The sequence below is a fragment of the Homo sapiens genome, chromosome 1, assembly GCF_000001405.40.
Source record: "Homo sapiens chromosome 1, GRCh38.p14 Primary Assembly".
Classification (NCBI taxonomy): Eukaryota; Metazoa; Chordata; class Mammalia; order Primates; family Hominidae; genus Homo; species Homo sapiens.
Window position 1 is genome coordinate 172,440,084 of NC_000001.11, and position 11,246 is coordinate 172,451,329.

Consider the following 11,246-nt stretch of genomic DNA (forward strand, 5'->3'; position numbering starts at 1 on the left):
AAGAGCTGAAGACACTAGTTCAAAGTCATGTCCCAGACATTCTTGAGAAATTTATGTTCAAAGAAATAAAAACATTATATTTTGGAATATGACTCCCTTAACAAAATTTCTGATTTGAAATTAATTCCTAGTGATAAAAGGACAGTATAGAAACTTGCCACAAATGAATTACCACAGGAATAACCAGCTATCTTGGGAGGTGCCTGCTGCATTTGGCACCTTGTCTCTGCTCTCTTCAGGTTTTCTTACATGTCAGCTTAAACAACATCTAATACATTAGTACTAGCTATTACATAGTGCTGATGCTAATACATAGTGCTTCGTATCAGGGATTCTTCAAAGCACTTTGCATGTATCCCATTTACCACAATTCTAGAGGTAGATACTTTTATTCCCACTTTACAGATGAAAACTGAGACATAGAACAGTTGTGGCCCAAGATTTGATAATTTATTTCCGCCTTAGACAAACTGGATTGCTCCCCATTACCTACAGTATGGAGCCCAAATTCATAGCCCTCAAATTGCTACTCAACCTCCCATTCTGACTTTTTCCCAATATCCCCTCCCAAAAGTCCCCATAACCCTGAATGGCCATCAAATATTGTCCCATCATTGTGCCCATGCTAAGGACAGATGGGCACAGTAGTAGTCTTATGTTGCCTGCAAATGTGTTTTTAGACGGATTAATTTACAAGTCAGATTTCATATTAAAAATCAGATATACAGTTATTGGGATTTCTTTTAGAATCCTATCTGGAATTCTAAAGGTCTGAAGCTAGGCACAAACTGTGAATAGATGCAGCACAATAGCAGGTGTCTCCATTGGACATCTCCATAGTTGTTCACAGTTGCCATCAGTCACACAAAGTATGCCAGTTTCACTCGCTTCCATTACTGACCTGGCTTCTAAAGGCCTTCACCACAATGCCCTAAAACCATCTCTTGCCTATTTAAGTCTCCCCTGTCCTCCAAGACTAAGCTTAAATGTCACCGCCTCTCTTATTTCCTAATTATTCCAGCTGAAATTTATCTCCAGCTTCTGAATTCCCCCTAGCATTCTGCTTATTGTGACACATCACACTCTGCTTTGCAATTAGTTGTGATATGCTTCCCTAAGAACAAGGTAGAAACTCTGAGTCAAGGTTAAGTAACCAATTCTGTGATCTTGGGCAACAAAACTGAGCATAGCACCCTGTGTTCTAAGATTTGAGCCCTAGATAAATAAAAGAGCATTAGCACATTGAAAAGGGTAGAAAGAAGTGACTTTACACACACACACACACACACACACACACACACACACACACTTACTTCACTCTTCATGCCCCTCTGTCTGCCTCCTGTTTATGGAAAAATCATGAGACAACTTGATGGATGTGTTATTTTTTTAATAGAAACCACATCACTTCATATGTTACAGCATGTAATTCAAGAGGTCCCCAGAAAGTTTTTTCATCTACAAAATAACAGAAAGGATAAGCACCCTCACCACCCAAGCCTTTGGTTCATTTTTTTTGGTTTTGATCTCTATTCTCTTACCACAATGACATGCTGCTTCCAGAATGGAACTCTGTCTTTAAGTTCTATACTAGTTAGGAGGCTAATCTATCAGCTTGCTTTAATAATGTAATGGATGTCCTAATTTAACTGAGGAACCTGGACAAGTCTTCCTTGATTTCAGCTTCATCCCAAGGCCCATGAATGTTTTCTTTAAAAAGCTGCAAGCGAATGAGGTAGAATGGACACAGACATGAGATAGACATCAGCAGAAGGGCAAAGAGTACGGCTCCCACAGCACTAATGGACAGTAGGCCTCCCACGGCTGAAAATGCAAAAAGCAGTGTGACCCCCACATAGCTCCGGGGAGTACATGCCTTTAGTTTCTTCTGCAACATGGGCCACAGGGCAAAAATCTGAATGGCAAATGTCACCATGATGAAGGCATGCAGGGACCGGGGAAGACGTGATGCCAAGCATACAGAAGCAAAGATGGCCATGTTCAAGGATAGTGTGCTGGATACAATGGCAGCATTGGCACCATAGTCAAAAAAGATGAGATGGCCTAACAGCATGAAGACTGACATGGCATAGATGGTGTCAGTGCTGACAGACTCTGTAAGGGTCTTCAGCACTGGTGAAAACCCATAAGTGAAAGTAATGAAGACTAGGGCACTCTTCAGGTCAGCCCACCGGGTCTGCCCACTCTTCTTCCGCCCTTCACCTCCATCAATGAGATCAAACAAAACATACCCAATCAGTGAAGAAGCCAGACCAGTCCCTAAAAGCCAATGGGGGGCCAGAAGACCCTCATCCATATACCACCAGATAACCACAAAAACACAAACACTGCACAGCTGCTGGATCACCACACTGGACTCAAATACCACAGCCCAATATTGGTATTTCCGAGCATGGATGTTTTTCCGGAGCTCTTCCAGGAATCGCCGGTCCACATAGTTATCAGGAAAGGGCTGTCGCTCATACAAGACCTTCTGCCACTTGACCTCCTTGGTGTTAGTCACAGGTTGAGCATACATTATCCTTTCATTCAAACTCAGGCCAGTTTAATCATCGCCCTCACAGAAGTCCAGGTGGTTCTTGTTCTTTATGAAGTTTTGAAATGAGACCTCCCTGGAAATTCCATGCTGTGTTGATGTTCTACCAACCTTTCCTTGTTTTCAAAGGCAGGGGCTAGGCCTACAATAGATGAATTTGTCTCTGAGGCAGGACAACACAGCCAAGTTCCTAGAAAAAGAGAGACTGTGAACCTACGAAAGTTGTGAAAGGTCAAGAGTAGTACTGAGATAAAGTCAAATCAACTCAGTTTACTAAAAGTCTGAGAAAAATGTATGTGGTAGTCACCTTATGGGACATTAAAACTGCATTTCAGATTTGAAAATTATAATTCCTTGAATAATAATAGACATCTGTTAGCTATCGCTTATTGAGTACCTACTATGTGCTAAGTGCCTTATGTATCTTCTTTCACTTAATCCTCACCACCTTGTAAGTTAGTATTAGTCCTGCTTTGGTAAAAAAGCTGAGATTCAAGATGCTTAAGTAACTTTGCCCTAAGGTAACAGAGCAGAGCCAGGATTCAAACCAAAGTCTTATCCCAAAGCCTGTGTCTCACATTGTATCTCCCTCTAAAGCAGTTCTTAACTCAGTGGTTCACATATCCCTTAGGTATATCACATTGCATGCTTATATCTGGATTTGTGTAAATTTATAGGGATAATATCCATAGTTTTTATTGGTTCTCAAAGGCATGTTATTTGTATTTTTTAAGTTACCAATCCAAAGACAATAGTAAGCTGCACCATACAGAAAGGTATGAGCTCTATAGTTTAACCAAAATCAAAGCCTCAAAGAAACTAGACTCTTCTTCCATTAGCTGAGCTTAGCATCCTTTAAAGAGCTATCAATCTACTCAAAACAAGGAAACTCTTGAGAGGATCGAAGAAGATAATCATTCCTTTTTCACAATGAGAAAACTAAGAGTCAGAAACACCACAGCCATCCGGCAAATTTGAGAAAAAAAAAATTCATATTGCCCGACTTTATTTCTTCCATGATAGACCACAACAAATATTGCTTGGCAAGCCAGACACCGTTACCCCCTCTGCAGCAGGGATCCCAGCCCGGGAATCTTAAGGCCGCCGCCGGGGTTGGAGGGTCTGCGACGCCCAAAAGGGCAGCGCCCGCCCGCAGAGTGGGGCTGGGAGGGGACGGGGTAGGGTAGGGTGACCCCAGGGTGCGCCTTCACTCTTCTGGCACCCCATTTGGCTTTTTGGGTGGGCCTCCCACTTCCGCCGCCGCCCCTCACTCAGCCTTGGGTCTGCGGGAGGCAGCAGAGGAAAAGGAGCCCCGGAAACACTGACCGTTACACGGAACCCACCTACCCGAGAGTTCCTAGGGTTGCGCAGCTGGGGGACGGCGGCACCCAGCCTTTTTCCCGCTTCGGGGCGCCGGGGCTGCGACTGTGGCCAAGCACTTCCGGGTCCGCCGCAATCTCCTTAGCGAGGGCACCCTTCCCCGGCTGGAACCATCGCGACGTGACTGCTGCCCCCTCCTGGCTGCTCGAAGGACCTCCGGTCTCCTCTCCTGGAGACTGGCCCAAACCCGAATGCTCTGAGCCTAGGAAGGCAAATCCCCAGCAATCCCCTATTGAAAGATGGGATGTGCCATCTGAAGGACTGGGTAAGGCAAGAGAGGACAAGGAAAGAGGCTGGGCCAGTAGGTGAGAGATAATGGCCGCTTTTGTTGCGCTCCTTTATTAAGTCAGGCCCTCAGCTGGGACTTCCCGTGCATCCATGCGTTCATTCCACAGATACTGATTGAATGCCTGCATGTAACAAGCCATGCTTGGGGTGCTCATGATACAGCCGTGAATGAAACACACAAAAATTGCTGCTCTCATGAAACTCTCTTTTTTGGTGCATTGACCTTTACACTGATTATATCATCTCCCCCCTCAAAGAGGACAAATCTAAGGCTCAGATAAGTTGTATTTGTCCAAAGACAGGCACCTGGGAAGTAGATGAACAGAGATCAATATCCAGTTGTCTATAGCTTCAAAGCTTGGTTTTTTTCCTCTTTACCTCCTAAAAGAAGTGAGGACAAGATTGCTAATTAAACTGAGTTCATGGAAATATTAAAGGATATATAAACAGAAGGAAGTAATAAAGAAACAAAGGGATGTAGTAAAACACAGGATACAGTGGAAATAAAAGTCAGAAAACATGACCCATTTACTAGCTCAGTGACTCAAGGCAAATCACACTACCTGAGCTTTGATTTCTTCATCAGTAAAATGGAGATGACATTATTTGCACTTGGCTACTTTATAGGATGGTTAAAGAGTTAAATATAAAAATGGTTTGTAAAGTGTTCACTATATGGCTGCTATTAGCTGACTTTGGCCATCGTAATGATAGCAATGTTTAAGTGTGATATATTCTGTAAAATGTTCTCTATTTCCCTCTAGGCTTCTGTTCCAAAATTTGACAAGATTCCTTGGCTTAGTGAGGCCAGCCTTGTAAACAAGCCATTAGTGCTCAGCCTTCCCAGAAGGTAACCTCTCAGCCACCGAGGGCAAAAGTTTTACGAAACATCTCACAGAAGATGATTTCTTCTTAAGGGATGGGGACAATTATCAGAGGGCACATTTGATCCATTGAGAAACTCAAGTCAAGTGCTTTAAAAATAGAAATAATCCGGGTTTCTCAGAAAAAAATGATCACTGAGTATAGGCCTGGCTAGAGGAGATGAGATCTCAAAATTTTTCCCTCTCCACCACTACCACTCAACAGTATAAGATAATTTTTCCCCTAGACACTGTCTCTCAAAACACTTCCATCCTCTTTCTCACCCCACATTTTCTCCACTGCTGTAGTCTGAAATTTTCACATTTTTACCATCAAAAGTCTAGAACAGTAAGTTCCCATCTTTATAGAATAGTAACTCTGTATGTAACTTTGAGGCACCCTCCTACATTCCTGTTAGTCCTACTCCTTCCAAACAAACTACTATATGACACATAAATCTATTTTTCAAAATTGCAGGAATTACATATCTAGGGAGCATTTCAACTGTCTCTTGAAATAATTGGGTTACCGTGTCCCTTCTCCATTTTTGATGAAATGGTTCCTAAGTGTAGTGATAAACCCCACTCTGGGAAGGGGACATGGACAGAAGGGTAGGTGTGAGGTAGTGTTGGGGTGAATGAGAGAAACCAGAAAGAGGGCAGAGAGAAAGAGAAAGGGCAGGCATAGAGGCCATTCCAAAGGCACACGACAGACTAAAAAGGAATGACTCCTTGGCATTCGAAACAGCTCGTTAGAAAAGCCAGACTCCCCAAAAAGAGTTTCTCCTCCTGTTGATAACTACCATGTACCCTCCTGCCCATGGATAAGTGACTTCATAAGCAAATTCCCATCACTGTCTCCACATCCCCACTTTAGTAACATGTACCTTTGCTTTGTCTACTGTACATTAAAAAAAAATCTCATTCTCAGTAAATAGGTAGACGGTTTTAGTATTTTCAGAACAAAATTCACAAGTGCTTTCAAGTGCTCGTTATTCAGTTGTGTTATTTTTACATAATTTTGAATATAACGAAAGCAGATTATCAGAGGTTCAATAAACTCAAAGGCCTATTTAAGAAACAAAAGTACTAAGTGATAGAGTGCTTATTAAGAGTTGTTAACACTGCATGGATCAGCACGAGTAAGGACAGTCTAGCATATTTTAATTGAGGGTGGGACACAAACTCACAGGCCCATGACAGTCAGATGAGGGGCATAATGAGTAAAGCTGGCCAAACAGGACTGCAATGAATGGGAAATCACCTCCCCGCTTCAGCCCACCCCCACGCCAGCAGTGTTACCTGCAGGCATGTGAGTCCAGAGGCCAGATCCACTGGGTCTTCTAACAGTACTAGAAATCTGGATGTTTTATGTGAAATTGCTAGTGTTTGATCTAATAGGGTAATATCCCACCATCCCATACTACCCCCATGCCCATTAGACCTGCCCCAGCAGCGAAGAGCAAAGTATCCTTGTGCATGGCTCTCTTGCCCCCAGCTCCCTTGGTCTCTAATTACACAAGCCTTTGGCAGAGGGTGGAGATCAGGGAGAAGGGTAGGCCTAGAATACAACTGGGCATCGGCAGCACCTGTTCACTTTCATAGCCAGGTCCTGGAGGGTCAGAGCAGACAGTCTGTTGACAGCCAACTGGAAAGGGAGTGGGCAGTTTTTCCTCCAGCCAGCCAAACCTAAGCTAGGCACAAGGAGAAATTACCTTAGGCAGGCAGTGAAGCTCTACTCATCGCTATTCTGGGAGGATTGGGGTAGCAATCTTAATTCTTGTTTAGAAAAATGTAATATACCTACCTCACAACAAAGGTGACCGAACAGCACCTTTGAGGTGCCCTGAGCTCTCAGGAGGACAAGACGGGAATGAAAAGTCTTTTGAAAGGATGGTTTAAGTATCAAAAGATCTTAAGGATTAAAAGCTCCTCATGTGGGCCAAAGCTCCGGGTTCCAAGCTGTTTATTTTTGGCAAAGCCCCTTACTGAGACTTTGGGAGAAAGTTCTCAATGTGCCTTAAGCATTACATACCCTTGAGCAAAGAGTTCTAATGCAGAACAGTCTGAAAAAAGATAAAGGAACATTTAGCCAAATATGCTCAGAGTAATTCCAAGTGTGCGCAATGGAAACACACCTACAGGGTTGGAGGAGGTGAGGCTGGGCTGTAATAAGAAGTGCCTGTACTGACCCACTTCCTTCAAGGACTCTCTCAGGTAGGCCTGACAATTTCAAAGCCACACTCATCGTCAGTCTCCAAAGCCCTTCAAGTCACACTAAGGTCATGTTTATATAAGATTATTGTATGCTGAAGGAGTTCTAAACTGGCCTCCTGGTCTCTGCTGGTCAGCATTTGGGTGACAAGTCCAAGAGAGCCTATTCCCATATCAAAGACAAAGACCCCGAGGGCACTCATGTCAGACCCACCATCTCTGGTCTTACAGGGCCCAGGGAAGTGTGAGGAGAAATGAAGCAAGAAATGTCTCATGAGCATCAAACTCCTTTCACATGCCTTTGTTTTAAATAAACAATGGACAATGAAATCTTCCCTCATTAGAGAGGAGGTGTGTTCCCGGCAAAACTGCCAGCATTCTGAGTTTCTATTTCTTGGATGCCAGGGGCATGAATGGTGCAACACACACAGTTTATGATTATCAGGCCCCTGCAGGCCTTGGCCCCTTACACTGTAATGAAATGAACCACAGTGCCAAGTGAGACAGAGCGCAGGCAGGTCACCCTGTAAAAGGAACTGGTGTTCTTGCAACATCACTGCTTCAACTGCTAACTAGAAAGAAAAAATGTTCCAAAGGAAAAGAATGGGTGAAGGGAGAAGACATTCTGTGGGAGGAAACAGGTGGATTGTTTCAGGGTGCAAGGACACAAACTCCAAGAAGTCAGCCCAGGTACGAAAGGGGACAGGTGCAGGTTAAACATCAAAAACTTGAGTGCAGACCCTTTCAAAGAGGAAACCTGGGATTCATTTCGCTCATTACACATCTACTGTTGTGAACAATCTTTATCCTGCCTTGTTTGTACAGTGTCTGACAATCCAAAATTGGTTAGTGCAAAACAAAAGGGACAGAAAAGCCAAAGTGACATAGGAGGGCAAATCCATCTTTTGGGAGCTCCCCAATGGCCTGAGTGCTCCAGAACTGGAGTGGAAGATAGCTCCCTGTGGTGTCCCTTGTATTCTCTCAGAAACAACCAAGGGCCTGGCTCTTCAAACATGGGACTGCGGTTCTAACGTTCTCTTGTTTTAATTACTTAGATATCCTCATACCTCTGCGACTTTTCTGACTTCATCCAAGAAGAATATGAATTTGCCAATTTTGTTTCAAGTTCCAGATGTTTTATCTAAGGTACTAAAAAATTTTTGTTGAAATGAAACCAACAGCAGTTCTAGAATGACATAGAATATGAATACATGTCCCATCTCCTTAGCACAGCCCTGTGCTTGGTACACCATCAATGTTCAATAAATATTTGTTAAATGAAATGAATGGCCCCACCCCCCTCACTATGTCTCAAGTGCCTTAGGGTCCCAGTCCACTAGAACTAAGAATACAGGCATAAGGTTAGAATCAACAAAACAGGAAACTAAAAATTAGTATGGAGGAATCTGCCCCAAGACTTCCAGGGAATGCCTATCAGCCTGTGACTGGAACCAATCTGGAGTCTCTACTGCCTCCCCCAAAGGATTGCTTATGTCTCCCACCTACAACTCCCTACACCTGTGGAATTTTACATTAAAAACTCCTCATTTCCCCTCCACCATGACCGGCTGCCAGGTGACCCTCGGTGTCACTGTGGAGCAAGCACACAGGCTACAGTGCTTGGGTAGTCAGAACCTCCCTGAGGTGGAGAAAGAGAGAAAATATATGGTGAGATAAGCAATTTTTTCACCTGAAAAATTGCACATTCCTCACAGGGCTGTCATAGGCAGTGCCTGAAGCAGCGTCCTAAGGCACTCGACACGGTGCCCCACCCAGAGCAAGAGCTCAGTGAATGTGAGCCACAATTATTAGGAGCCCTGGTGTCAGTCAATATATGTTTACGGAGGCCTTTGTATTTGCTTTAATACATCAGAGATGAGTGAGTCAGCCGCAGCTACACAGATGAGTGAGCAGACAGGACAGGGACACAACTGAGAATGCGTCTCAGAAACAGGGCACAGCACTTGTGAGAGAAGGTGGGAGCAAAGGTTACCCCCAGGTTGGGCAAGCAGAGTGGAAGTGAGGGAATGATTCAAGAGGAAGTGGCATCTGCACTGGACCTAGAAGATACTGTTTTCAAGTGGAGGGAAGAGCCAGGGGTGGAGGAAGAACTGGAAAGAGAAGAGAAGATTATCAGCAAAGAGGTGGAGACTGAGTGTGCAGGAGGAAATGCCTGAAGAATATCAAGGAATTCTGAGCATACATGAAAGGGAAACAAGGACGCGGCTGGGCCCAGCTAATGCACACAGGGCCCAACAGACAAGAGCAGAGAGGACACATTGAAGGTTTTCAACACCGGAGTTTCAGGGTCCAAGCTTTGCTTAAGAGTCATCTCTTAGTCCCCCTAACACCCTGGACAGGCAAGTAGGTAACATGGCCACCATGACGTGCACTGGGTAGAGGTGGGGGATGAGCGGGGAGGCAGGACTGGCTTAGCAATTGCTGCAGAACCAGCAAGAAGCCTTCCAGTCATCAAGTCGCTGTGAACTTCCTATTTAGACAGGTCTCACCTGCCGCTGAATGCCTCCTCATCTCAGGTTTGTTCTGGGTCTCTGTACTGTGGCAACCTGGGCACTAGGACACCAGGCCCCAGCCTGGCTGGAGTGGAGAATGGGGAAGGAAAGCCAATGCTAACGACCAGTAGGAGTGAGAGGCCATTCTCCAGCAGGGTATAGCGGTTTTTGTGGCTGCAATATTCATAGTTAGCCACTAGATGACAGTTAAGAGCAACAGCTTCCAGCTGCGCAGCCCAAAGGGCTCCTGGGAGGCCAGTTTCCCGGCTGACCCGTGAGAAGTCCCAAATAGGTTGCTCTTATTGGGAGAGAACACAGGCCCCTCAGCCTCACCCTCACTCTCATCCTGTTAGGGGCTGACCCTCCACTGATTTGCACATGAGAAAGAGTCACCCCTGCAGATTGAAACACAAGTAGGGAACCCGGGATCCTTGCTCTGTTGGGGCACCAGGCCAGTACCTCCAGTCATATTCTTTCCCGTCACACAGACGTCCTCAAATTTGAATCTGGCTCCCAGAGTCTACTGCGTGTATGAAGGCCTGCACGTATGTGCCATGAGGTAAACGTGGATTCAGCTGGCAGCTGCTCCCTTCTGGAAAGAAACTGTTGTGTTTCAAGGGAGTAGAATGTACTGTGGACAGGATCTCTTCCTTCATTCTCTAAATCAGGGACCTGACAAGAAGCTGCTGGCAATCCGGAGGCCAACTGGAGACCCCGGACCCTGTGCAGAGGTGCAAAGCTCCTGCCACCTGGCTGCGTTCCTCTTCACCGTCACAGGTCAAAGGGCAGAACTTTAAACACCCACTTACTCCTCCCCTGCCCCGGAGCAGCCCCGTGCCTGAGGCAGGTGCACGTGTGCCTGGAGCAGTATTTCCTAGTGACTAGACAAAGGGGAGACAGGCTCAGAGACACAATAACAGGAAGAGGGAGACAGAAAGCAAGATAGAAACACACACACAGAGATGAGGGACAAAAAACACAAGACAAAAGGAGAGGCAGGTCTGTCAAAGAAGAAAGATTTTTAGTGAAGACAAATGAAGCCTAAACATTTCCTCGTTTAAACATCTACTGTGGAGAAGCTTCTTCATTTTCTCCTGCCATTTGCAGGCATCCACTCACGACTCCTCAAGATGCTGAGAAACAGAAAGGTGCATCATGATAGTTGGCTAACTGGGCCAAAAGGTGACTGACTCAGTGATCCAAGGCAAAGGAACAGCAGGTGTGTGGGGGTGACCCGGAAAACTGCAGCTGGAGACTCTGAAATCTCTTTGCCCACTTGCTGGTACTGGGTGTAAATTAACTAGAGCTCCTCAGTTACTAATAGATTATAAAATGCCACTCCACCCTCTCAATTCCTGCCCCCACTCTCTCTCTACTCACTTTGATCTGGGTTTGTTCTTCCAGTCTAATGAGTCAGAGTGAAGATAAGAA

At 45.1% G+C, this 11,246-nt stretch overlaps 2 protein-coding genes across 11 annotated transcripts in view, besides 3 other annotated features; one reads left to right on the plus strand and one right to left on the minus strand.

Annotated features, from left to right (window-relative positions):
• The window catches only part of C1orf105 (chromosome 1 open reading frame 105), a 48,145-nt gene that overhangs the window by 19,399 nt on the left and 17,500 nt on the right, over nucleotides 1-11,246 (plus strand). For 3 of the 9 annotated variants that reach the window (XM_011510152.3, XM_011510153.3, NM_139240.4), the window contains 2 exons: nucleotides 4,990-5,075; nucleotides 8,358-8,448. The exons of 1 other annotated variant lie outside the window; for it this stretch is intronic. In XM_011510152.3, the coding sequence (XP_011508454.1) occupies nucleotides 4,990-5,075; nucleotides 8,358-8,448 (177 nt within the window). Of the gene's footprint in view, nucleotides 1-3,907; nucleotides 4,203-4,225; nucleotides 4,243-4,989; nucleotides 5,076-8,357; nucleotides 8,449-11,246 lie in introns of those variants that run through there. 5 more of the 9 variants (XM_005245608.4, XM_017002808.1, XM_005245610.5 and 2 more) reach the window with 5 other exon arrangements.
• On the minus strand, nucleotides 1,374-3,986 carry PIGC (phosphatidylinositol glycan anchor biosynthesis class C). 2 transcript variants are annotated; one of them, NM_153747.2, is made up of 2 exons: nucleotides 3,905-3,986; nucleotides 1,374-2,747 (listed from the first exon to the last, which is right to left on the minus strand). In NM_153747.2, the coding sequence occupies exon 2, from the start codon at nucleotides 2,537-2,539 to the stop codon at nucleotides 1,646-1,648; it is 894 nt and encodes a 297-aa protein (NP_714969.1). In that variant the 5' UTR covers nucleotides 2,540-2,747; nucleotides 3,905-3,986; the 3' UTR covers nucleotides 1,374-1,645. The 2 variants fall into 2 exon arrangements, with proteins under 2 accessions (NP_714969.1, NP_002633.1); NM_002642.4 differs by having other exon boundaries at nucleotides 1,374-2,770.
• Nucleotides 3,818-4,341: an enhancer, noted in NCBI's record as "NANOG-H3K27ac-H3K4me1 hESC enhancer chr1:172413041-172413564 (GRCh37/hg19 assembly coordinates)". NCBI's record gives its function as "activates a minimal SCP1, AML or CMV promoter by ChIP-STARR-seq in primed H9 embryonic stem cells {active_cell/tissue: H9 hESC(primed)}" and the evidence as "EXISTENCE:reporter gene assay evidence [ECO:0000049][PMID:30033119]".
• Nucleotides 3,818-4,374: a biological region, named in NCBI's record as "NANOG-H3K27ac-H3K4me1 hESC enhancer GRCh37_chr1:172413041-172413564".
• Nucleotides 4,065-4,374: an enhancer, noted in NCBI's record as "active region_2091". NCBI's record gives its function as "activates an Ori minimal core promoter by ATAC-STARR-seq in GM12878 lymphoblastoid cells {active_cell/tissue: GM12878}" and the evidence as "EXISTENCE:reporter gene assay evidence [ECO:0000049][PMID:35858748]".

Bases quoted from the DNA above. Each gene is read 5' to 3' on its own strand.
- PIGC (NM_153747.2), bottom strand. From the start codon at position 2,539: ATGTATGCTCAACCTGTGACTAACACCAAGGAGGTCAAGTGGCAGAAG.